The sequence below is a fragment of the Homo sapiens genome, chromosome 18 (assembly GCF_000001405.40).
Source record: "Homo sapiens chromosome 18, GRCh38.p14 Primary Assembly".
Lineage (NCBI taxonomy): Eukaryota > Metazoa > Chordata > Mammalia > Primates > Hominidae > Homo > Homo sapiens.
Window position 1 is genome coordinate 5733917 of NC_000018.10, and position 27324 is coordinate 5761240.

The following is a 27324-nucleotide window of genomic DNA, read 5'->3' on the forward strand; positions in this document are numbered from 1 at the left end:
ACAAGGAGGATAAGCTGCTGATCACCCTGGCTGAGAAGAGTTCCATGGCAGAGGCAGCAGCCTAGTTCCCCTCTATGTCTTATTATAGCTTCAAGCTCTTGAAACTTCAGGAGAAAAAAAAATATGTAAGAATCTCCATCCTAATGGATAAGACTTCTTTCTTCACTTTGGTTTCCAATGGACCCTACTTGACTGCTATAACAATGGCTTTTAAGTCAAGTCTGAAGGAAGCAACTGATCCTTCAGAAAGATGATGGCACTGGTGTGGAGAAAAGGGAAAGATTATATACTGAAGGTGGAGATGTAAATGATACAGCCTGTATGGAAAACAGGATGGAGGTTTCTCGAAGAACTAAAAATAAAACTACACTTCAATCCAGCAATCCCACTACTGGCTATTTAACCAAAGGGAAAAACAGTTATATAAAAAAGATGCCTGCACTTGTGTGTTTATCACTGCATAATTTACAATAACAAAGATATGGAATCCACCCAAGTGTAAGTGTCCATCAGCACGTGATTAGATAAAATGAACGTGGTACGTATACACCATGGAATACTACTCAGCCATCAAAAAAAGTGAAATCATATCTTTTGCAGCAACATGGATGGAACTGGTAGCCATTGTCTTAAAGGAAACAACTCAGAAACAGAAAGCCAAATATCACATGATCTTACTTATAAGTGGAAGGTCAGTAATGTGTACACATGGAAATGGAGGGAGGAATAGTGAGCTGGAGACTCAGAAGGGTGGAGGTGAGGGGTGATGAATTACTTAATAGGTACAACGTACATTACTTGTGATAGTTACACTAAAAGCACAGACTTCAGCACTATGCAATATATCCATGTTACATAACAGCATTTGTACCCTTTAAATTTATGCAAATAAAACTAACAAAATAGACTTCTCTTTTCTACCAGTGTCCCCCAACTTTAGAGCAGGTAAATTCACTGGGCACCAGATACTAGGGAATGTGTTTATTCTTTATGTCATACCTGTGTGTATTTATGTTCTATATTATAAACATACATTCAGTTACACTATCATATTTTAAAAACCAAAGTGGAAATCTATTAATGATGATTCTTTTTTCCCCTGGATCTCTACCTACCTTCACTCCCAGCTCCTCTGAGTTCTTCCAGAGGGGCTGTGGGCAGCCTTCAACAGAATCAACTTCAGGCTGAGGTTTCTACGACCAAGAATCAATTATAACCACTTGTCAAGTTCCTATTGTGTGCCATGCAATGGCTAGGAACTTTGTGCATGACACATTTGATATTCATTTAAATAATACATATATAGACTTGTTCCTTGTCTTCTGTAATTTCTCCTCAAATGAAATAATCCTTTTCAAACACTTTAGCTGTTTCTTCTGGCATTTCCCCCATTTTTCTAAATATTCTCCTTATACTGTGATTTGTTGACTTTTCAGCTTTATTCATTCTCTTTCATTTAGTTATTTTTTTACAGTGGGTAATAAGGGTTTAGCTCTTCCTCCTCCACTCCTTCCACTCCATTCACTCCTCCCTTCACCTATATTTTCCTGGTATAGTAGTTATATCACCATTTCTAGTTAACAGAATAAGCAATGTTTATATTATTCATATGCATATAGTATCATCTATACCTGAGCCACATAGCATATAACCATTTTACTTCTTTCTTTTGAAATGTTTTCCCCCTCTGGAGTTAATACTAACATGACTTGGTTTATTTTTCTATAGATTTATCACTAATTCATTTCTAATACAACAGTAAGTCTGCACCCAATACATTACAGTGCAGAAGACAATATTATCAGTTTCCCTTTTTAAAAAACATTAGAAGACATTCCTACCCATTATAGGAGGAAGCCCAACATCCTCCTATAATCCAGATTGGCCATTCCTACCCTGATGCACAGCTACCAGCTTGAGACATCTTTTACCACCATCCTTCATCTTTCCTTCTGTATTAGAACCACTACGGTTGACCCTTGAACAACATGGGTTTGAACTGCATGAGTCCACTTACACATGAATTTTCTTCCACTCCTGCCACGCTTGAGGCAGGAAGACCAGCCCCTTCTCTTCCTACTCCTCAGCTACCCAACATGAAGATGACAAAGATGAAGACTTTATGATCATTCACTTCCACTTAATGAATAGTCAGTATATTTTCTCCTCTTTATGATGTTCTTAACAACATTTGTTTTCTCTAGCTTACTTTATTGTAAGCATAAAGCATATAGTACATATAACATTCAAAATATGTGTTAATCTACTGTTTATATTATTGGCAAAGCTTCCAGTTAATAGTAAGCTATTAGTAGTTAGGTTTTGGGGGAGTCAAAAGTTATATGTGAATTTTTAGCTGTATGAGGGATTCATGCCCTTAACTCTTGCAGTGTTCAAGGGTTAACTGTATTTCCGTCTTCATTTTTCTTTGCTTTCCCTACCATCTGTCTTTTGATATTGTGGAAAGACATCCAGTGGCTAACTCAGAACAGGTTCATGGGAGTAATTTTTTGAGAACTTGAATGTCTGAAAATATTTTCATTCTACTCCTACACTTGAGTGATAGTTTGAATATGGAATTCTAGATTGAATATGCCTTTCTCTTAGGCAGTTTTGCTGGGGGACTCCTGAATCACTGTCTGTAGAACTTTTTTTCTTTGGCTGAGTTTCCCTGAGAGGAATCCTATAATCACTTTCTGGTGGTAAGAGCCTGGCCATTGAGGGACTGGGGGAGAAGGATTAGGGGAGTGTCACACCACAATATATATAGACTTCCATTTATTCCTTCTAGTTTTAGCATGGTGCGGTATTCCCAAACTTGGTTCTTCCTGGTGTTCCAAGCCTAGAACATCATTGGTCAGGCTCTCTAGAGAAGAAACCTCCAGATTTCGGTTAGGGTATTGGAGGGCAGCAGCCTGGTGGCACAGACCGAGGAGGAAATCTTTGGTGATCTTTATAGACGTTCAATACATCCTCCTTAAAAAAAAATTAAAGCCTCATCCTTACCTTTGTCTTCAGAAATTCCAAGTACCTGCAATTTCTGAGTATTTCTGCAGGTCAGTGTAATGGGTCAACTTCTGCGCATTTCTGCAGGCCAGTGTAATGGGTCAGCTTGCTGATTATTGGTTTCCCCTCTTGCAGTCTGAAGTTTCAACCACTTACCTTCATTCCACGAGCTTTCCAACTTTCAAAGATGTTTAACCACTCTTCCCTGTTGTCATCTTTGTCCTTTTGAATTTATCACCTCTCCCATTTAAAAAAAAAACCTGTTCACTATAATTATAACATTTTAGGAAGAAGTGGACTAAATGTATGTTTCAATATGCCATATTTAGCTGGACTTCGATCATCGTCACTTAATTTAAAAGTATTAAAAACTTACATCAGACCGTGCAGCTCAGTATGTGGCCTGGCTAGAATTTCAACCCTCTGGGAAGGAAAGAAAAGAAAGATAAAAAGGAAATGAGGTTTGAGACTGTGCAGGGTGCACAGGGTGCAGTGATGAACAATGGAATGATGAGTTTGGTAATGGAAGGCATTTCCAGAAAACATGAAATGGAGTTGGGGGGGGCAGCAGAACGTAACGTCCTTGAACAATGATTTCACCTGACTTCTCTCTTCTGTTCTTCTGTTTCTCTTTCCATCTTTTCTTTCTCATTCACTCTCTTCCATCCATAAGCAGGTTTGTAGCGACTTGCATGTTTTAAGCTCAGGGCTAGTCCTGAGAATACAATGGTACATAAGGCGGGTGTGCTCCCTGTCCTAACTTAATAGCATGAAACAGCCCTTCAGTGCAGCATGCTCAGGACATAGAGGAGGGATAATGGATAATTAACCTAATTTTAGAGCATCAAAGCAGCTGGCTCTTCCAGCCACTTCCAGAGCTGCTTGTTCTTTGACCCATTTCTCCTTAATGTCAACATCATCTTTATCATCACAATCATCATTATTAATACTATAACTACTTATAGAAATTCGATTTACCTGGTCCCATGGTAGACCTTGTATATAGCTTATTTAATTTAATCCTCATAACAATCCAGCAAGATGGATTTTATCAGCTTGAAAAAATTAAGTAACTCACCCAAAGTCACCAGTGGTTAGCAAAGCTTCCTGGCTGCCACCTCCCTTTGACTTTTTAGATGTTCCTTTTCTGTGCCTCCCTACTAATGAATGTAGGTCCTTGTCATTGTGCTTAGCCATCAAGCATTTTTAAATCTTTGTGTGCTCACAGAAACTATTCCTCACTGATCTCAGTATCCCTGATGCCTAACACAGTATCTGGCACAGGATTAAAACTCATTAAATAAATAATTTTTTATGTAAGGCAAAGTCAGGATTTGAACCCAGATTTTTAAATTACAAAGCTCATGCCTTTCCATTGTATAGCATTGTTCTCCAGTTAAGACTTTTTCTCATTGCTATTACCCTTCCCCTTGTACACAGGATTCACCTTTGGCTCGCTCTGCCCCATGCCTGTTGGCCCCTGCTGACACCTGTCTTCCTCTCTCTGGGAAGACTTGTGATTAAACCAACAAGCACAGATACATCTTTTTCAAAAGCAAATAAATATCTTTTGGAAAAAATCTCTCACTGCCTTCAAGTGCAGTCACAGCACAAATTTAAGCATCAAAACAAACTTTTTGTTGTAAATATTTACTCCACTGTGGACAGAGACTTAGGAGTCCATCTGTTCTACGGGATTTTCATTTTAGTAGAATTTTTTGAAACCAGATCAGCAAATCATTGTTACTATTGGCCACACACAGAAATATGTTGCTTAAACAGAACTCTATGTTCAAATGGCATCTGTTATGAGCCTTGAGCTTGTCTACACAGAGCCACAGAAGGCAGCAAAGATAAGCGGTGGTGGGAACCTGAGTCACTGACCGTCAATCAAGGGACTGCACCTCCTGGAATACTCCCTGCTGGTTCGTAAGCTCTGGAAACTCAGGTGAAAACAGCAGATGGAACTGGTGTTGATATTAAGACACTGCTGCTTCCTTCCAATTCTTTGCCAATTTCTTTTTCTTTGCCAAATTTGTAAATGCTCACTTTTAGACGCAGAATAGCAGAGGAACAAACCTGGTTATATTCTTTCTCGCTTTGCATTTGAAAACTGTGACCTTGGCAAGCTGAAGTGGCTGCATCCTAAATCTCTATTTCCTCACCTGTAAAATAAGCCTAACAGTATTGTTTGAAGACTAAATGAGAGAGCTCAGTGAAACACTAGCACCCTTCAAGGCCGATTGTGGTTGGACAATGACTCTTCATTTCCCTTGAAAGAAGATGAAAGAATCACACATTGAGGTGCCCATAAACCACCCCCAAGTACTCTGATTCAGTGTGAGGCCTGGGCAACTGTACGTCTTCAGTGAAATTGGAAGTGGAGAACCACTGCCATAAGTGAGGTATGGAACCAGTTTTCTCAATTGAGACAGAAGTTTTTGGCTTCCACTCTGGAATTAAAAATGAAATATCAAGTTCAGGATGTAGTAAGCCATTTCACTGTCTATTTATAAAGCATTTTACAATGATTATGTTTATTCCTTCTGTATCCTTGAGAACAGGTTTGCCTTCATGAGCCATGCTTTCTCCTTGAGAACACAAAGATAAAAAGATTCATTCAGAATGTCAATGGCAGTAACAGGACTGAAATCCAGACTATTTATCATCCACAATAGCTCAATGCTACAGTCCTTGCTCAAGCAGGATACCTACTGACAATCTGAATAATTGACTGCACTAAAAAGTTTGTCAAATCAGGTTCATAAATTAGGCTTTAATAGAATATTATAAGTTGGCTGAGCTAAAAGGCAAATATCAATCTTATGATTTGTATTTAACAATACACTGAAAATGTCATTCAACCACTTATGGAAATGATAGAGAACTAGTCCTCCAACATAGATTTTTAGCAGGAATAGAGTCAAACTCAGAGTTATGCACAAGGGAAAGAGAACAGTTTGTATTAAATAGAGGTTTCCAGGTACAACATAGAGAAATACTAATGAGAGATCTTGGGAAATTGCCAGAGTTTTTATTTAATAAGAAAGTTTAAGTGTGCTTCTAGGAATGGGTCGAGAAGTTATTCTCCCAAGCTGCTCATTTTAGATTGAATTCATGAGGGTTTTATATTTCATGTCTTGTTTTCACAACTGCTTTATGAAAAAACAAACAAACAAACAACCCCAAATTAGAAAAACAACAACAGACCAGTTATCTAGAAACTATCATCTGCTGGAAATTTTGTTTAAATGTAATTTGCTCCCTATTCTTCTGTTAAATAGATGGAAAGCATGGGGACAGTGGACAATATTGTAGAAAAATCATTTGCTAAAGGTTATAAAGAGGCTAACAGAATTCAAATGGTGAAACTATTCCTATAACAATTATCTTTCAAAGTTGTCTTTGAATCATTCTTTCCAATATAAAGGGACAAAGAATATAGTGTTCCTCACTCTAGGTGCTCCAGCTATCATTTCCGCAATAAAATATCATGAACCGTGCCATAATATAAGGCATTTAATTAGACTCATTTAACATATTGTAACTCACCAATGATTTTTGCATTCAGCACATTTCAAACAGCTGAGTTTTAAAAATGTAGAGATTTGTTCACCACTAAATATCAATGGGCCTCTGCAGCTGCACAGCCCCTTAGATCTGGTTTGCATATGTGGCTTAATGAGTCCTCGGGAACAAGACAGAATCAAGGAAACAGCAGCAAAGAAAAACACCCAACTGGAGAGGAAGTTAACCCAGCCATGGAAGTGGCACTGGTCCACGGACCCTAGGCTGAAAGGCCTCAGAAGAAGTCTGAAGGAAAGCAGGCTGCGAGCCAAATGGAAAGTGACCCTGGGCCTCGGGTGAATGTCATGTGCCCTCTTAACTCTTTGGTCCTGAGTTCTTGGAGAATCTCTGTAGGTTGAGGAACTCAATGGGTATTTTCTACAGAATAATACCTGACCAGTTACAAGCACATTACATAGTAAGGCCACAAGAAGGCTCAAATTGCCCAACTCTAATTCTCTTACCTGTCTGCTCCCATGGAAACCCCTCATCTCCTATCTAACATCGAACTCCCAATGTTAAGTTTACTCCCCTAGCATCAATATGACAGGGAAGCCCACTGTCAACAGACGGAAATGTTACCTGTGAGGAAAAGGAGGCTGGAAGGGACAAAATTTCCCTCTGTTTTTTCTTAAATATATTTCCCTCCTTACCACAAGAAACAAATTCTCAACAATTTAGAAACCATTAACTAAAAAGATGAAGATATAAAAACTCACACTAAATCCACAGACTGGATATAAGCACTGTTAACATTGGGAAGTACGTCCTCCCAGTCCTTATTCTATATCAGAACACCCTTCTACCTATGCCTCATCCATATCTATCATGGGTTCTGGCACTACCTCAGCTCTTATGCATGTTCTAAGCCTTTTTGATAAATATTATGATATATAACATCAAAAATATTGTCCTCTAAAAAATGAATTATTTTGTATTTGTATCAGAAGAACATAAGAGTGACCATTTACTAACACATTCGCTTATTGGGAATATTATATTTAGCTTGCCAATTTGAAAGGTGAAAGTCTTTTTACAGCTGTTTAAATTCACAGTACTTTCACATCCCCTTGAATTTTTAGCTCCCCAGTCATCCCCTGGGGGACTGGTCTTCAGGGGAGACTCACTGAACGTCCACCTTCTCTTTTTCCCTTGTCTTCTATAGCAGAGCTAGGGCAGGCTGACGTTTTCAAAAAGGATGTTACTGCAGAATGAAGTGGAAACAAGAGGAAATAATTATAGAAAATTAAAACAGCATAAAAATATTCATACGTCTGAGACTGAGCCGAGGAATACTTAAGATCAGAAAAGAACTTTCCAAAATTTTGCACCCCATCTTGCCTGGATTTTTTTTTCTTCCCACACTCTCAGGCTCCATGTGTTTCCTTCCCTATAGAAACAGACCACCCGAGCACCTTCCTTTCACAGACAAATAACTGCTTAAAGCTGAGCCATGCCTCTGGTCTAAATTTCCCAAACTCCTAGAATTCTGTCCTCTCAATGATGTTTCTGTATTTTCCGTGTCTAAACTTTGAATACTTATTCTGATCGGGATTTAAAATGCAGGTCTTCATAGCTGCATTCATTAGTAAAACATTTATATTACACTGGCTACATATTTAACAAATTGCCTCTGTTTAAGAAGAACAGAATTATATGTAATTTTGAAGAAATTCCAGACGTATTGAAGGAAGTCCCATAAATTCCATTTCTTGAAAGAAAAGGCCATGAGTCAGTATTTGAATGTGTTTCTTGCCAAATAAGAGACAATACTCTTGTAAGGCACAGTCTCTATGGTCAAAGTAAACCACTGATCTTATAAAGAGTTCGGGAAGGGTGGCATCCAAGGACTCGTGGACTTTCATTAATGGAAATGTGTATGAATTGATTGACCTGGCTGAGGCTTGTGGAAGAAAGGCTACTGGAGTGAGGCTTTTGCTGATTGGTTGACTTTCGGATATGTGTGGCTGCCACAGATTGGCTGACTTTCATAAGTATTAATATATTCATGTAAATAAGTTGTCCTTGATCAACTGGGTTGAGCCTGAAGTTGATTCTGGTGAGCTCTTGTTCATGGCTTGGGATTACTGCCAAAGGAAGGTCTTTTTCTTTCTTGAATTTGAAGGACTGGAATATTTCATTCTGACTTGGTTGCTGTATCTTTGAGAGACATACTTTTTTCACAAATGATACTCATTTCAGTAAAAATGGGCAAACTTGAGATGTAACTGGATGACATGAGTCTTTAAGGTCTGGTGTTTGAGCTCCAACTACTTCTAGAGCATTTTGAGATAACCTTCAGATTAATTTATTAGAATGGCATCATAGAGTAATGAAATTAGATATTCCTTGAAAATGATTTGTTGAGCCTCATTTTGTGACAGGTAGAAAAACTGAAACCTGAGAGGTGTTTTCACATTCCCTAAGAGATAAATCTTAACCTGGTTTCCTATGCACCTCTCAATACCAAGCTTTTCTGACATTGTTTGATGGGAATCTGGTCAATAAATAAGAGGAAAGACTATATCAATAAATTATTCATTGTGAGTAGTTATGTTATTTGATAAAATATAAACTGTGTTAAATGGAAAACACATATTTATATGTTATATATATATTTCTTGATCTTATATATACAAACTATTTTCTGTTTTCTCTTTATTCTCTAAGAGTAGAAAAGGAAAGTGTAGAAGAGAGGAAAAACAACGTGGAAGTGTTCTGATGGGACGGAAGAAGATCGGGCCAAGGAAAGAAGAATGTTGTGAAGATGCAAGCAGCCAATTTGTGCTCCATAAAAAGTAAAATGTTGGTATTATACATAAAGCCATTTGTTTCTTTTTCATGGGAAGGTAGAGAAATTAAATGTGAAGGCAATGGGGATTGGCATAGGAATAATGGAAAACAAAGTTGATGGTTCACTTCTTCATCTGAGGAGGCTCACTTTGTGGTCCTGCAGCCAGCAATAAGGAAAACAATGGAAGAGCATAGTGGTGATTTGCTAGTAAAAACATAGCTCCTGAGTTAAGTGTGGTGACTTACACCTGTAATCTCAGTACTTTGGGAGGCTGTGGAGGGAGAATTGCTTGAGGCCAGGCATTTGAGACTGCCATGTGCAGCATAATGAGACCCTATATCTACAAAAATTAAAAATAAAAACATTAGCCAAGAATGGTGGCACACACCTGTAGTCCCAGCTACTCTGGGAGGCTGAGGTGGGAGGATCATTGGAACCCAGGAGGTGGAGGCTACAGTGAGTCATGATCATGCCACTACCCTTTAGCCTGGACAACAGAACGAGACCACCATCTCAAAAAATAGATAAATAAAAATAAAAATACAGCTCCCATGTGTCCACTACTCTCCATTTCCACCACACTCTTTCTCCTGGTCCATGTCCTTAGTCTCCACGTTGGTCTCCGTTTTGTTCACTCTTGCCATCTTCCACACAGCAGCCAGTTATCTTTTAAAAATACGGCTCCGTTTCACTCACTCTCCTTCAAAGGCTTCCCATTGCTCTTAGCATAAAATCCAAAATCTTTTAAATGTCTGATGAGTAATGTGGACACATACTTTGTTATCTCAACAGAGGTACCTTGAGAGAGAAAGGGGGCATCATTGCTGGGACTCTCTGGGGCACACTGGGCTGGGTGGTCCCCCCAGGGCCTTCTGTGACCTTGCCCCATCTACCTTTCCACTTTCTTTTGCTTCTCCCCGTACCAGCACCACTCATGATGCTCTAACAACATTGGCCTTCTTTCTGTTCCTCAAATGTCCAATTGTCTCTGACTGTAGAGCATCTGCACATACTGCTCTTCCTGCCTGGAACACTTGTGCTCCTCTCAGGCCAGATTCTACTCAGCCTCAGGATGTGCTTCTGATCCACAGTGCAAACTTTCTGATAGCCCAATCTAACTTAAGTGTCCTGTTACAATCTCTCATGGAGCCCTTTATTTTTTTCTCTATAGTAGTTTCACAATTAGTAATTTTGCGTTTATTTGTAGTGTTGTCTGCTGAATGTCCATCTTCTCCTCTAGGTGGTGTGCTCCCCAAGGCAGATATTGTATCTTTGTGTTCAAACTTTACTCCTATGTCCTGGCAGTATGGAATGCACATGGCAAGCACTCAAGACACAAGAAATATTTATTGAATGATGGATTGAATAAATATATACCTGGGTGGGTAAGAAGAGACAATACTTATCAAAATGCATAGGATGAGGGCAATATAAATGCTATAGACTTCTGCTGGACCTGTTCATAGGCTTCAGAATTTCCCCAACAATATGTATCTGTTAGCTTAGGCTGAGCATACTACAGTAACAAACATCCTCAGACTCTCAGCAGCTGACACAATAACGGTTTATTTATTGCTCATGTTACATGCCTATTGTAAGTCAGCTGCATGTCTTCTTCATCTGAGACCCAGGCTGTTGTAAGGGTCCCCATTCCAACATTGCTTGTCTCTTCGCAGAGAGAATGAGAGCATGGCCAAGGATGAGAGAGTTCTTGCTCTGCTCAGAAGGAGCACACCTCATTTCTGCTTCTATTTCGTTGGTCAAAGCAAGTAACATGATATCAACAGGGCCAAGATGTGTGATCCTCTCACAGGGAGACATCCACGTAAAGATGCCTATGGGAAAGGGATCAATACTTTGAAATATCATAATACATAGGTGTTGCATGCTTTTGGTAGATGAACTAAAGGGAGTTTTCTTGCTTGCGTATTTTGGTAAGGTCTGGGAGTTAAACGGAAAATATGACTCTAATTTTATTCTTGGGAAAACCAGGGCTCTATGAGCTGAGGCAGTACCCTGAGACTAAAAAGCACTGTGTCTGAGAGAGTGAGTCTCCAGACTAGTCTGCAGCTGCCTTGCTCCTCTGTGGGCTTTAATTCCCTTTTCACCCATGCCCAGCCCTTGGAGTCATCTTCTGATGTTTCATGATATTCTTTGATATCTTTTATACTTGCACGAATTTTCTTCTTACTAAAGTTAGGCTTTATCTATGCAAGAGAGAGATAAATGCAAATCAGGAGAAAACCCAGCCTTCTGTTTCTAGTGGAGAAGTTCTGTATTTAATGCCTTCTACAGACCATTAACATCCCATTTTTAAAAGAAAAAGGGAGGTTTTACTGGGTGGGTTGATCATTCACTCTCCTGATTCCTGCCTTCACCAAGTTCTCCAAAATCAAGACTCTAATAAGAAATTTAACTCAGCCTTTTTTGGCGGGGGTGGGTGGGGTAAACCTCATCCTTCCCTCATTTTAAAGTGAAATGGACAGAAAACCTGAAGAACTGAAAGGTAGGTGAGATCACAGCACTTATACAATAATTCAATTAACATCTGCTTTCTTAAAAGCAAATGTTAAAATTGTACCTGCAGCTTTGAGGCATAATCGGAACTTCTCTTTGGAAATGGGATGATATTTAAAGAACAGAAGTGTGTGACCAGGAATGGCAGGGAGTGCAGCTGAGACAAAGCTGGGGGCATGTGACAAGGTAAAGAGCCTCTTTTAAAATGCCTATGGTCAGCAAATGCACAAGAGACTTATTTTTCCTTTTGGAAATGAGGCTCTGATCTTCAATTGAATCCAAGTGCCTGCAACCCCATTTGACTTACCTCTATTGTGCCAAAAAAATAAAATTAGAATTAAAACTAGATGAATGTAAGTGCAAAATAGACTGAAAAGGCAGGCATTGTGTAATGACAATTCAGCAAGCAGTGAAACTTCACAGTCATGATCACCGAGGGGAACATCAGAGTCATGAAATCCTGTCAATGTTTTTTGTTTTTTTTTTTTTTGAGACGGAGTCTTGCTCTGTCACCCAAGCTGGAGTGCAGAGTGGTATGATCTCAGCTCACTGCAACCTCCGCCTCCAGGGTTCAATCAATTCTCCTGCCTCCACCTCCTGAGTAGCTAGGATCACAGGTGTGCACCACCACGCCTGCTAATTTTTGTATTTTTAGTAGAGATGGTGTGACACCATGTTGGCCAGGCTGGTCTCCAACTCCTGACCTCAAGTGATGCACCCGCCTCAGCCTCCCAAAGTGTTAGGATTACAAGCGTGAGCCACTGTGCTGGGACCCTCTCAATCTTTTGGATAAGCCTGTGCCATGCCACGCACTACCTATGAAAATCTCAGCTATTTCTGAAGCTTTAGAGAAGAAGGGTAAAATATCTCCTTATTTTATTGAACTCTTCGTTTTCAGCTTTATCTCAATGTTGTGTTTACTATCAGAGAAATAAGTTGCATTTTCAAGAAATACCCACAGGTGGGTGGTTGTTTCTGTTTGGGACCAGTCCCACCCACCAGGGAACTGTGGTGCCAGACAGGACAGAATTTCCGCATTGCCATCCGGTTCTTATCATTAGCAAATGAGTAAAGAAACGGGAGATCAAAGCGAATATTCATCCAGTGCTAAATGCTTTGAAGAAGACTCTTCCCTTGCTGAACCCCTTGGTATGAATTAGCTAAGTGATGAATAAATACAAAATGTCTACCCGGGAGCGAGAGTTAAAGAAATTGAACAAAGGAGGTGCAGATGGATGTCATGATGACTAACGTGCTTAAGTACTCAGCTTATCTGTGATGTCCCCTGAGGTTTCTTAGAACTCACAATGACTGTTTCATATTTGTACAACACCCTGGAGTCTCAGACAACACATGATCTCTACCTGCCACTTGCCTAATTCTGTTGACAGAAACTGCTTTCAATATGACTGTTGAAATTTAAAGGTGAAATTGGCTATTGAAACTCAAGATATTTAATTACTTTGTTTTTACTTTATTTGCATAAAAACATAATATTATAGTTACTTGTAGTAAGTATAGGTTATAAATATTTTATCCCAACTGTTCTTTTTCCCTCCAACTGCTGAATCTAGCTACCTATGTTTAGTCTTTACTTAGGCTGCTCTTGCTTCCACTGTTGAGGAAATTACACCAGCTTTATATCCAGAGAACCTTAAACCTCTCATCTTTCCCTGCTTCCCACACTCATTCACCACCATTGTGTCCAGGAAAGACACAGTAACATTCTCCCATTTTCTTTATACCTCTTTACATATGTAGTTCTTACTTCGCCTTGCCCTTTAGAAGTCTGGGTACATAATATGTATGTTTGTCTTCAAAGAGGCACTATGCTGTAATAGTTTATAGTACGGGTTGGAAACTTTTTTCTGTAAACACCCAAATTGTAAAGATTTTAGACTTTTCAGGCCCTAGTGGTAACTTCTCAATTCTGCAATTGTATTGTAAAATCAGCCATAGACAATATGGAATCAGATAGTCACGGTTGTGTTCCAGTAGAACTTTATTTACATACACAGCAGCTGGCCAGATTTGACCTACAGGTTGTAGTTTGCTGACTCTTGGTGCAGAGCATGGACTTTGGAGCCACATGGCCTCACTTCCTGGCTTTGTGTACTTGGGCAAGTCACTAACCTCTCTGCCCATTAGTTTTCCCATCATCATGGGAAGAATAACACCTGCTTCACAGGGTTGTTTTGAAGGTGAAATTATCTGACACATGTAAAGTTGGTAAAGATTTCTCTCTGGAATAGTATGAAATCAACATAAATGCTTGCTATTGTTACAAGCAACTTGAGGGGAAAAATAATACGTATTATTTACTTTTCTCTTCCTTTGTGTTTCCACAATCTCCTCACTCTCCACAGCACATAGTAGAGTCCAAGTTGCAGAGATACTCAATAATTATGTGTTGCATTGAATTATTCTGGCTTGCTTTGGCCTTACTTTTTTTGTTTTTTGTGTTTTTTTTTTTTAACAAAGAATAACTACTTAATTTCTCTTCTTTCCCTTCCATCTGATGAATATGTCCTGTATAGTTATTACTTTCTTGCTCTTAGAGAAAAATTATGTTCTAGGGAGTATCTATTTGGGGCAACTTGAATCTATGTTTCCCAGCTTAAATTTTTAAAAAATATATATTTTGAGCTCCTGCAACCAATATCCTTTTTCCCTTCTTTATGGTTTAGAACTAAAATTTTTTTTTTAACTAATCCTTTTCCTTCATGTGTAGACCTAAACTTTTAAAGGGGGTTTTCCTAAAGAGATCAAATATTTTGTCCTTTCTGAATATTTTCCTGGGGGACAGATCTAGGACAGCCCTCTGATTATCCTCCCTTGGTAGTATTCATACTATTGTATGATCCTTTTACTGTGAGTATAGGTGGGACCTGTAAGTTGTTTCTAAACAGTAAATTATGACAAAGATGATATGATGTCACTGTCATTATTATGTCACATAAGATTATGACTTCTATCTTGCTAGTAGACCCTCTCCATTAACTCTCTCTCTTTCTGATTGAGTGTAAGCTGCTATATGAAGGGATCCACAAGACGAATAATTAAGGGGGACCTCTGATCAACAGCCAGCAAGGAACTGAATCCCTCAGACCCACAACTCACAAGAAACTGAAGCTGAAGCAGATTCTTCCTCAGTCAAGCTTCAGGTGAGATTCTAGCCCTGCCCAACACCTTGGTTATAGCCTATGACAGACCCTGGAGCGGGCAACACAGCTAAGCTGTACCCAGATTCCTGACTCACAGAAACTGTGAAATAATAAATGTGAATTGTTTTAAGCTGCTAAAATTGTGGCAATACTGTTATGCAAAAATAGATAACTAACACAATATGAAACTACTGGATTATAACAGCAATTATTCAAAATAATTATAATGGTTTCTTATCAATGATTTGGTTTGTCAATCATCAAATGTATTTAAGAATTGATTTTTAATGTCATCATGCTTGGCAACTTGGTTCGCCACCAATACTATGGTAATTAATAATCTATAATAACACTTCCATAATCCAGCCTTCTGGAAAATTCAGTTCCCCAAAAGAATCCTAAATCTGGAAAACAGCGTCAGGGAATAAACAAATTCAAATTTTTGTGAAATAAAAAGCACAACTAAGAAAAACTGAAGATTACAATATTGCAACTGCTCTATTGTAATTGTGATTGGGTAGCTCATAGCATAAAAGCAAGAAGTTAGTTGTGGTTCTAAAAGAGGAGAAATGGTAGCTGGGCTTGATGGGAGTATACACCATTGCTCCTATTCCATCTAAACATGGCCTCATACATAACTATGGTCAGTGTTTGGGCAGGGGACATTAGCACAGCAATGATCCTCTGAATAAGTATACTGTGACCTAACAGCTTTAATATATCCTGACATTTTAAGCACTAACTTCCCAGTGTGCAGTGCATTGAACTCTGTGGAAAATAGATCCTAGATAACTAAGTAACAATAAGTAATATTTTCTCTTTCCTGTTAATGAAAGTGGACGTGTGAAATCATGAGTTGGATGGACAAAATCACTTTCTCATATGCTTGAGAGATGTAAACGGACCTTTCAGATCCAGAGACAGATCTATCAAAGTCATATTTCCGACACCTGCCACTGGTTTCCCTTGCTTTTATAACCCAACAGATAATGGGGCCATGTTTAAAAGGAATGGGGGTGATGGTATAGATTCAGGATCTAGGGGTTATTCGTTATAATATCTGTGTTAACCTGAGTGTTAGGAATGGGTCACCAGGGGAGTTTCTGATATAGCCTGAGAATGATGAAGATGCTGGAAAACCGGCCCCGTCACACACCAATGAAGCACGAATAGCTGTGCCCATCTCTCAGACAACTGGCTGATGTCGGCAGCAGGAACTGAACTGAACAAACAGGGAGGAGAGTGACTTTGCTTCTCATCAAAGGTTACAGAATGAAGCCTGCAGCTCAGCTTTCCATGAAGTCATCTTTATGGATTTGGGGTTCTGTGGAACTGATTAGTAGCTTTAAATCCCCACTTGGCTTTGTCTTTGTAAGAAGAAAATACCTAATTGTGTCTCAGATTCACATTAACTTGGTCCATATCTAATTGGAAAAAATTTTTTGTTATTCCACAGAATCATTGACTGTAATAATCCATAGATTCACCACATCTAGGCTATTAAAACCCACTCTACCAAACTCGGACAGCATGACAATTGTAGTTGATTAATACTGTGGTGCCATTCTGAATAAGCTTCCAATCTTGTCCTAGTCAAATTCATTGCTTGCTACATGGCTTTCCCGGTTAATTCTGAATTCAGCAAAGAGCTCCAATGGGCTGATGTTGAGCAGAGGTCAGCGGCTGCCAGAACTGTCATACTTACTACTGTCTCCATGAGCCAGACTGGAAAGGTACACAGAGCTGAGAGCTCAGGTATACCCTGATCCCACTATCAGATCTAACTGGGCTCCCACCATCACCACCCTATTGCAGAAAGAAATCATGAGTGACCACTCAGCTCAAGGCTTCTCTGCTGATGCCATCCAGTGAGTTTCCTGGCAGCCATCTTTTTATGAAAGAATAGAGGTCAGCCTGACTGCACTTCCAGATGATTAGAGGTGAATCCGCAGGAAATTTATGGTAGACGGTTAATGGGAGGTGTTGATTGTGTGTGTGTGTGAGAACACAGGTTGTAAATTCTGGCTTTTCTTGCCTGCAGTTGGCTGTAACAGTGTAATTACATTAAACCAGTTCCTGGAACCATGGGACTGTGATGTGCCTTCATCTAACACATCTGCTTTATTGCTCTCACAACCAGCCCCACGAAAGAGTTGGGGTTTTGGTATAGCCCACAACAAGCCACTCTCCTCTCTGCTCAAGTCAGTTACTTCTCTGACTCTGGGGTACCCGTGTCACCCTAAAGGCAAATGCCTTTAAGCTCTAGGAAACTTTCTGCTTCTTCATCAGTGGAAAATGACCTTAAGCTACCTGAAAGCTCCCTGTCTCCTCAAATCTCATCTCCCCATTCCCCCACCGTCCACTCTCTAGCTCATCTCACACCTGGAAGTCTACATGAATGAACTTTCCACCCCACTAATAACCTGATGAAACAAGTGCAGGTCAAAGGAGACCCGTTAGCTGAGTTCCACAGCCCAGTCAACAGGAGCTCAACAGTAAGAATGAGCAAAGCGTGCAAGTTCTTCAGGGAAGTTTACCCAAACCTGCTGGGCAGCTCAATTATCCCTATCTCATATCCACTGGGAATTCCAAGGAGCTGGTCCTCAAAACATGCCAGGAGGTACACTAAGGTACACTTTTCTAATTATAATTAGAAAAGGGTTCTATTCACTGTTTGAAGTAGGAAAGTAAATGAAAACACCTGCGCCCCGAATTATGTTCAAACAAAACACATTTCCTTTCCCACACTAATGTAATAACCTTTTTTAACTCTTCCCTTTCTGCAGAGATCTGAGATCAAAAGAGATTCAGTCCTGCTACCCTTGATGCTGGGACCTTTTCCCCCTTGGCCATTTCCTAGCTTATTTCCAAGTGGGTTGGACTGAAAGGTCTGAGTTCCAGTCTTAGGTTTATAGACTGAGTTCCAGTCACAGGTTTACATACTGTGATGTCTCACAGTAAGTAACGTGTGTGGATCACTGGAAACTCCCAAACCACTATTTTAAGGGGAAAGGCACTGAGGAAGGATGAAAGCTAGAGACTCTTTCCTTCATCCTCCCAATCTCTTATGCTGTAAGAAGGATGTGTTGGGTAAAGCTAGAAGAATATCTTGGGTACAGCCTCTTGTAGTGTTTCCTACCTATGGCATGATACTTTTGAAAGACCCCTTCCTGTCCTGCAGAACATCTTTAGTCCTCACAAGTTCTCCTGCTGCAGGGGACTTGTCTGACCTCTTCAGGCTGGGACCAGTTCCCCTTATATCCCATAGAGCCTTTTTTTTTCCTGTGGCGCACCAGCATCATTGTGTCACCATGCTCTGCTCCTGGGCCTGTCACCTCCCATGGACTGTGAGCTCCTGGAAGCAGTTCATTTTTGTATCCTTAGCACCTGGCATACAGCCTGGCATGCAGTGGACACTCAACAAATATCTTTGAATGAATTAGTGAGTGGATGATAGTAAAGAATAGCAAAAGTAAAACGTTCTTCCAATGAAAGTAGATGTTGAGAATAAAGGTGCTCCTCTGAATCACCCCTGACATGCAAAGACCCTCTGTTTCCTAAGAAGGAAAGTGGATGAATTCCACTCATGGTTGCTCCAGAGCCAAACACAAGCAGACCTTATGTGCACTTCGCCTTGGACAGAGGCAGAAAGCCACTGAGCCTGATGCTGATGCGGGCATCAGCCTGGCTCCTGCCCTAAAGCAAGCTCATCTTCACTTCCCATCTTGCAGATGGAGTTTCCAGTTTCCTGTGATCCCTGCCTCAATTTTTTGCTTATTCAATGGAGATAATAATACTTACCACCGATGAGTTCTGGGGAAATGAACAATACTACCTACCTTTCACCACTAAGTTTTGGGGAAGTAAATGAGGTTGCAAGGAAAAAATTGCACCTGTAAACTCAGCTATCTTCAATACGTGCCCAAGTTTTTATTTACATTGATGTCCACCATTTGAAGAGTTAAATAGTTCTAAAATACTCATTATTTTAAAAGCAGCTCTCCTCCTTCTCCACCACCTTCCCATACACTCATATCTTTCACCCCATTCCTCACAATGTGATTCATTTAGTTTTTGATGAAATTCTCAATGTTTATATTTTTAGGAGCATGAAAAGTTACTTACAGCTTTGTATTTACTATGTCACAGTTACAATTCCTTTCTTTTATAACTCCTCTCATCTGGAGTTAATAATTGCCTTCTTGATTTTTTTGCATGGTGCTCTATGTATCTATCACTATTGCCAAACCTGATGATAGATCTGTAAATCTCTTCTTGACACATTAGAACACATTAAGAAACATATCCATTCTGCCTACCTATCCATCTGTCTTGGAGATATACCTTTGGAAGCCCTCTATTCTCTTCCCTACTTCTTTGCTCTAATTGTTTTCTAGGCCTGATGCACAGGTTTTATCCTGGGATCCTTCCTCACCATTCTCCCATAGGTTAATATTCTTTCTTTTTCTCTTCCTCTGGTGTTGGATCCCTCATTTCTTGAATAGCTTTTCCTTTTCCCTCTTTCTTTGTTTATTCTGATTAAACAAATCCTTCAGAAACTTTTGAGAAGCATTTGAGAGGTAAAATTTCTGATGCATTTTGTCTCACACTCGATTGACAGCTTGATTGAGAATAGAATTCAAGGTTAGGAAGCCTTTTGCAAAATATTTTTTGTGTGTATGACAGGGTCCCACTCTCTTGCTCAGGCTGAAGTGCAATGGCACAATCACAGCTCACTGCAGCCTTTGCCTCCTGGCTCAAGTGAACCTCCCACCTCAGCCTCCTGAGTAGCTGGGACTACAGGGGAGCACCATCATACTGGCTAACTTTTGTATTTTTCTTTTCTTGGTAGAGATGGGGTTTCACCATGTTTGCCAGGCTGGTCTCAAACTCCTGGGCTTAAGGGATCTGCCTGCCTCAGCCTCCCAAAGTGCTGGGATTACAGGCATGAGCCACCCTGCCCAGTTAGCATGGAATTTTGAAAACATTGATTCATTGTCATCTATCTCCCAAGTTACTCTTAAGAAGCCTGGTACCATTCTAATTCTTCATATTTTGTACATAATCCATTTTTTCCTCTTGAATCTTTTAAAATATTCACTTGGACTTCAGTGTTCTAAGTTTTTATGATGCTACTCTTTGTTGTGGGTTCATCTATCATGTTGTCCGATGGGTGGGCCCTTTCAATCTAGAAATACAGGAGCTGTCATTTTGGGAAATGTCTTTGAATTTTTGCATTGATGATACTCTTCACTACCTTTTCTCTGTTCTCTCTTTCTGGAACTCTTGTTATTTGTGTATCATACTTCCTAGATTTACTCTTAACTATTTTATAATTTCCTGCATTTTTCAATCATTTTGATTTTTTTATCTGTGTTCTAGAAAATCAACTTCACTCTTCTTTTTATTCTTCCCATTAAGCTTTTACAAATATTTTAATTTAATTTTTAATTTCCAATGGTTTATTTTACTTCTCTGAATGCTTTTTTTAAAAAGTACACTGTTCTAGTTTTATGGATGGAATATCTTCTCAGTTCTCTGAGGATATTAGTAATAGTGGGTTTGTCGGTTGGTAGGTATTCTAGTAAAGAACTTATTTTGTTTTTCCCCATGTTTCTCTATCCTGGTTATCGATCTTGGTCTCTGTATTAGTCTGCTGGGGCTACCATAACAAAGTACCCCAAACTGGGTGGCTTAAAACACAGAAATTTATTGTCTCACGGTTTTGGAAGCTAGACGTCTGAAATCAAGATGTCAGCAGGGTTGGTTCCTTCTGAGGGCTATGAGGAAAAGATCTGTTTCGGGCCTCTCTCTCTTTGACTCATAGAGGCTCATCTCTGCCTCTGTGTGCATTTTCTTCCCTCTATGTGTGTCCCCTTCATATGGCATTCTTTTATTTTTTGAGACAGAGTCTCACTCTGCCGCCCAGGCTGGAATGCAGTGGAATGATCTCGGCTCACTGCAACCTCTGACTCCTGGTCAGAGGCAGCAATTCTCCTGCCTCAGCCACCCTGGTAGCTGGGATTACAGGCATGCACCCCCAAGCCTGGCTATTTTTTGTATTTTTAGTAGACACCGGGTTCACCATGTTGGCTAGGCTTGTCTCAAACTCCTGAGCTCAAGTGATCTGCCTACTCTGCTTCCCAAAGTGCTGGGATTACAGGTGTGACCCACCACACCTGGCCCATATGGCATTCTTTTTTATAAGGACATATGTATTGGATTAGGGCCCACCTTCCTCTAGTATAAACTTACCTTAACTAATTATATCTGTGACCCCCCCTACTTCCAAATAATGTCATATTCTCAGGTACTGGGGGTTAGGACTTCAATATATGAATTTTGTGGGCACACAATTCATGCTGTAACAGTCTCTGGCATCATGTCAGAGCTTTCCTCAAGTGTCTGGCATGTGACAGAGACCATTATCTTATGTGTAAGAGCAGGGCACTGAAAGCTGATATGGAAGCCCCATATGGGTGGGGCTGGATAGGAGCGGGTTTCACTGTGAGGAGTTTCACCTGGCCATTGTATTACCATGTTGGCATCTATAGGTCTTTTCTCTTGGGCTGATTAAAAAATAAATAAATAAAAATAAAAATAAAAAATTTCCATCTGCATGCCTGAGCACCAGCATTCTGGGTGCTAACTATAGGAAGAGGACTGAGGCTGAGGTTATTCTATTCATAAACCATTATTCATTTCCTCATTCCCGTCTTTGCACCCTCATCTGTGCCCATTGTCCTCCAGTGCAGAGATTCCAGTTTTACCTTCTTCAAAGAACAAATGCCATTTTCTGATTGGAGATGGTGAGGGGCAGCTACCTGGCTCTTCAGAGTCGAGGAGGGATTTTGAGGTCCAATTCCTACTCAACAGATTTAAGCCCATCTTTCTGTTTCAGCCCCACCTTTACCCCACTTCCAGAGTTACTTTGTGCCACCAATTCCTATGCCCTTTGGGACTTCTAGGGTGCAGACAAAATTGTATAATAGCTTTTCTTCCCTTTATCTGTCTATAGAAAGATTTCTGTTTCCTTAGGTCTGTCTTCTGAGTTAGATACCAGTAAACCTTTCTTTCCAGCTTCTTAATGATTTTTGATCTTATCTCTTTTCCCATTTTTATTGTCTTGTGTGTTTCTGCCATTAGAAAGGTTCCTTACTGTCTTACTGCACATCTAGTGGAGTTTCAGTAGGGGTCACAGGTAAGCACTTTATTCAATTCACCCTGTGTTGCCAGAAACCCCTCCTTCTCCTGTGCCTAGAACAGCCCAAGTTGGATTCTGGTGGCAGTAACAAGAATCCTGCCTGGTAGAAGAGGACAAATGGAGATGAGGGAGCAGGGATGGGAGCTAAAGCCACCACTGCCTGCCCACCATACACTTCAGCCAAGCTTTAGCCAAACCAGCTCTTGATGCCTACAGAGGTCAGGCTTTCTTTCCTCTGCACCTTTGTTTATACTTTCCTCTTTGTCTGGATAATCCCTTCTCCCCCTGACTGCCTAGAAAACCGTCACCTTTCAAGAGTCAGTTCAAGGCTTACTGACCCCATTCTAATCCTTTTCCGAAGAATTGGCTCCTCTATCCCCCACTCTTCCTCCTCCCGCATAGTAGATTTTATTGTACTTGTCTGTTTACAAGTCTGTCCTCCTCTTGATTCTGCACCCTTTCAGGTAGAGACTGTGTTTTGTCTTTGTACCTCCATGCTTGACATATAGCAGATTTTTAATAATTTTCTGTTGTTCATATCCTAGATAGGTTCTGGTATGATTTCAGGATTTCATATTGGGAATATCACATGTGTGGCATGTTTCTATGCAATGCTACAGTTCCTGGGCACATATGGAATTCTATTTCCTTTTCAGCTCAAATTTTCCTTTGAAAGATGTTAAACTGCCTCAATTTCCCCAAATTGACCTCTCGCCAGAAGGTTAAGAGGAGAATGGCCAAAGAAGCACATCGTCTGCTGCTGATTTCTCTGTGGCTATGCAGATACACATTGACTGATCTGACTCAACTGGAAGAGCTTTGCGCTGTTCGGAGCATATGATAGCACACATTTCGCAACACATTTGGAAGAGAAAATAGTGGTCATTTCATTTCTAGGGTTTCTGATTACTGATAAATTTTATTGGGCCAATTTCATTTCTTTTTGGGGGTCCTGGATCTTTCAAGGTCAGAGCCGCCATACTTCTCATAGACACATCCTGGATGAATGCTGTGGTACTGCAGAGAAGATGCTTGTGCACACAGGTTACCTCCATATATCAAAAACTTATGACAATGATGATGAGTTCACTAGCCAGTTCCAGCAGTGACCAATTCAGAGTGCCATCATATGTCATTTATTCACCCAAAATGTACCAAGCCCCCTGATAGTCATGATGCAAGCTGTTAAACACTGAGAAGATAAAATCATTAAAATTCCCAATAATTAGTAAGTGCTCACTATGTACCAAGCACTGCACTAAATGCTTTATGTGATGCTAACCATTCGGGGGCAGGAAATAGAGGAGGAAATAGAGATTTCCAGCAGTTAAGTAACTCAGCCCAAGTTATACAGGTGGGGAGAAGTCTACATTTCTGAATTTGAGGGCTTGGCCACCTGCTTAACCCTCTGCTGCCTGCGCCGGGAGTGGGACATTGTCCTCACCCACTGGAAACTCTTTCTCAGCTTTTCCTGAGTCACAGTTATACCCTGGCTATCTCCTCCTCCCAGTAAGATTAGATTGAGAGAAGAAAATGATTCTCTTGAGACCAGAGAATTAAAAACAAGAGCTCAAGAGAAGCTCAGTCATTAAAGTATTAAGTTTCACATTGATCCATGGCTATTCTAATACAGCTATTCAGGACTCTTGGTAAACCCTGGTCTCAGCACCGCCCTCCTCTTGTTCGGAGGTCTCACCATACCCAGTGGAAATGTCATCCAGTTTGCCACCAGTTTTCATTTGAAAAATAGTCTGAGAGAGATTTTTAAAATCCCTGACACTGAGAGATTTGTTGTATTTTCACTTTCAAGGCTAGCAACAGGGGATTCTCGGGATTATTTTTTTCACTTTCACAAATGGAAATGTATGCCTTGAGAATTGATTTGTCACTGTCTGGTTTTAAATTTCTGACTGGAAAATAATGATAATCATGTTACTCTCTCGATTTCAGCCACATCAGGAAGCAGTAAGTGGCAGGGCCATCTCAAGGAAGAGCCACCAGTCTCCAGGGAGTTTAGGTCTTAGATGTGAAGCCTCAAGTAATTTGCAGAGATTGTCTTGCCTGTATAACACACCCTGTTGTTGCTTTTATACAGCCAAACTGACAGGGGTTTGTGAATCAGAATGATGGCTTTGCATTTTAGCTTAGGGAAGGTAAGGAATAAACAATTTTAATGGTTTGGGATAAAATACAATATGGGTACTTTAAAAAATGGAGTTTCAAGCTTTTCTGTTATAAAATTGTGCAGGTGTGCAAAGTATTTTTACTTCTCTTACAAAAGGAAGGACTATATTACTCTGCAGTTTAAATGCACTGGTAAAGAAAGGAAACATAAATGGAAATAAAGGTGTAAAATGGCACCCAAGCTACTCTTAGCATAGTTCTTAAACAATTAACCACTTCCATAAGCATCTAACTGAACAAAATAAGAATAACAATGATAAAAAATGACATTTTCTGTGGAAGTCAAATGATATCAGTATGCTAGAAACCATTTAAAACATAAAGGTCTTCATCTTGGAAGTCTAGAAGCAATTCTTGAGTTCATTTTAGGTATAAGAAAGATTAGGCTTTTGCAAAACTCTCTAACCTAGATTCAGGGATTCATGACACCCAATCCAGAATATACATTTGCTCCTACTCACACCTAGAGGGAGAATCATGGAACAAGTATCAGGAAAGAAATGTTGGTGTCATGTGGTCAAATATCAGTATTTAGACCTGTGTTTGTTTGTTTTTTAAGTCTCATTTGCTTTACACTCTCCGAAAGTGGATTTAAAATGGCTAACATTTTTATTTGGCTTTGTATTTTTAAAGATTTAACCAATGAGTAAAATGCAGTTCAGAGCATTCCAAAGCTACACAGCTGGTTACTAGCTGAGCCAGGACTACTCTCCCCCTTCCCAGCCTATATGGATTTTTGCAAATTAAGGCAACTCTTTTATTTCAAATGCTGTTTTCTTCAAAGATTGTTGCCATCCTTCCCATTGTTTTGAACAACATCACCACCTAAACTTTTCTGGAAGCCTTAAAACTGCAGCATGTTTAAACATGCAAACATTTTGTCATTTAACTTTTTAAAAAATCACTGGTAAATTACCAGGTATCCTTTCTGCTTGGCTTTGTCCCACATGTGGAGAGAAGCCACTCCCTCCTGTTTTCTCCGGTAAGATCTAGGCAGCCTGGGATGTGCCCAGCAAGTCTGACTGCTCTCTGCAAGTGGAAAGAGAAAGCTCCGCATTGATTGGGCAGTAACTGGCAGCCCCTTGCCGGCTCCTTATCCATCTGCAATTCTCACAGCAATCCCACAGATAGATAATATTTTTAATGGCCAAGGAAATTGAGGTTCAGAGAGAGATTAAGTTACCTGCTCAACCATGTAGCTAAGAAATGTCAGATCTTGAATATGAACACAGGTCGGCCAGCCAGACACCAAAGTAGGTATACTTTGCACTGCACACTGCCCCTCCTTCAGAATATAGGTTATATGTTAAAGCGAGGCATAGATCTTTCAGGAGATTACAGTCCAAGAGGGACAAATGATGACAATAATAATGTATTATATCTGTATAAATTTTCTATCTCTGTGCAAGAGAGTGAGCCCAGCATAGTGTCTTAGCATACTGTAGGGGCTCAGTAAACCTTCAGTAATTACAAAAAGGAAGGAAGGAAGAAATGCAATATGAAGGTGAACAGGGCATTGTTCATATCCTGGCAAGTCTTACAGTCTTGCCAGGGAGACAGACGTGCCTCTAATTAACTCTACTCAAATTACAGCAATAGTTCTCAACCTTTGTTTTACGTCAGAGTCCCCGAAGAGGGAGGAAGAGGGCAGTGGCAAAAGCTTTCTAAAAATGCCAATGCCAAATGCCCATCCCAGGCCAGTTAAAGGAGAATCTCTGGGTGGGACTAGGTGGGTATTTTCAAAAGCACACCCTCCCCAGTGGTGCTAATGTTCTCCCAAGCCTGGAAACCACCAATGTGTACAGCATTGAGTCTGTTAAGAGGGACAGAGAGTGGAGGTATCAGTGCAGCTGTGAGCACAGTGGGTCTTTCTTCAGGGATGTAGTGTATAGCAGGCTCTGTAAAGATGAGTCCAGTTCAACATGGTGACCATGACAAGAGATGGACTTTCATAGAGAAACCACAGAGGAGCTGGGGGTCACCTAGAGTCATTGGCTGGAAACAGGACCTGAGATCCGAAGGCCAGGCTTGGGACCTCCAGAAGCCACTGTGATCCTGGGATGGCGGGCGTAGCAGGAACAGAATGCAGAGTCAGTCTGACTCTGCAGCTTGAAATGTCGATGATAGCTCCTGTAGGCAGCTAGGACTGGTCACTGGGAGTCTAACATAGACTGAGCACCTTTTTACGTGGAGGTGAAAAGAAAGCTGTACTCTGTTGGGGAGGTCTGGCTCCAGCCTTCTGGAATTCAAAGAGTGTCTCTGTAAAATAACGGGGTTGTCCCAGAAGAGCAGTTTTTAAATTATGCTCTTGGAGTAATGGGCAGTGATTCTGAAATTTTATGAATATGAGACTCAGTGGAGGATCTTGGTAAAATGAGGATTCCCAGGCTCCCACCTGAGAGTTTCATTCGGTGGGTTGCAGGCAGGGGCATGGGATGCAGAAGCTATGTCTGCTAACAAGCATGTGGGAGGGAGAGCCTGACACCAGCCTACTTTGAGAAGCCCCGTTTAGGGTGTCACGGGTGTCTTAGGGACTCTGTGTGGGTGTGGGAAGGGGCAACAGACAGGGCGTGGGCCCTGACCCCCATTTCAAACACAGAAGCATTGTCTTTGGTTTATATATTGGACTCTACAGGACCTGCTTTGCAGAAAGGATCTCATTGAGAATAGCAAAAGGAAGTTGGGAACCATTACAGTAAGTGATCTCAATATCCCTTCCAAATTCCAACAGCCTATGAGCCTCTGTGCAGGAGATTACCAAGGAACAGGGAGCAGAGGGAGAGTGCAGAGAAGGAAAGATTAAATTGGAGACAATGCTTTTATTTAACGAGCGGGCAGAGGGGAACATTGTCAAGGGAAAACACATAAAAATTTTGAAACTTCAGTTT

The 27324-nt window shown here is 40.4% G+C and overlaps 1 long non-coding RNA gene across 11 annotated transcripts in view; it reads left to right on the plus strand.

Annotated features, from left to right (window-relative positions):
• MIR3976HG (MIR3976 host gene) overlaps positions 14883-27324 on the plus strand; it is a 165609-nt gene continuing 153167 nt past the window's right edge. For 9 of the 11 annotated variants that reach the window (NR_172496.1, NR_172503.1, NR_172497.1 and 6 more), the window contains exon 1: positions 14883-15048. This is a non-coding gene — a long non-coding RNA (MIR3976 host gene). Of the gene's footprint in view, positions 15049-27071; positions 27132-27324 lie in introns of all 11 variants that reach the window. The other 2 variants (NR_172498.1, NR_038839.1) reach the window with 2 other exon arrangements.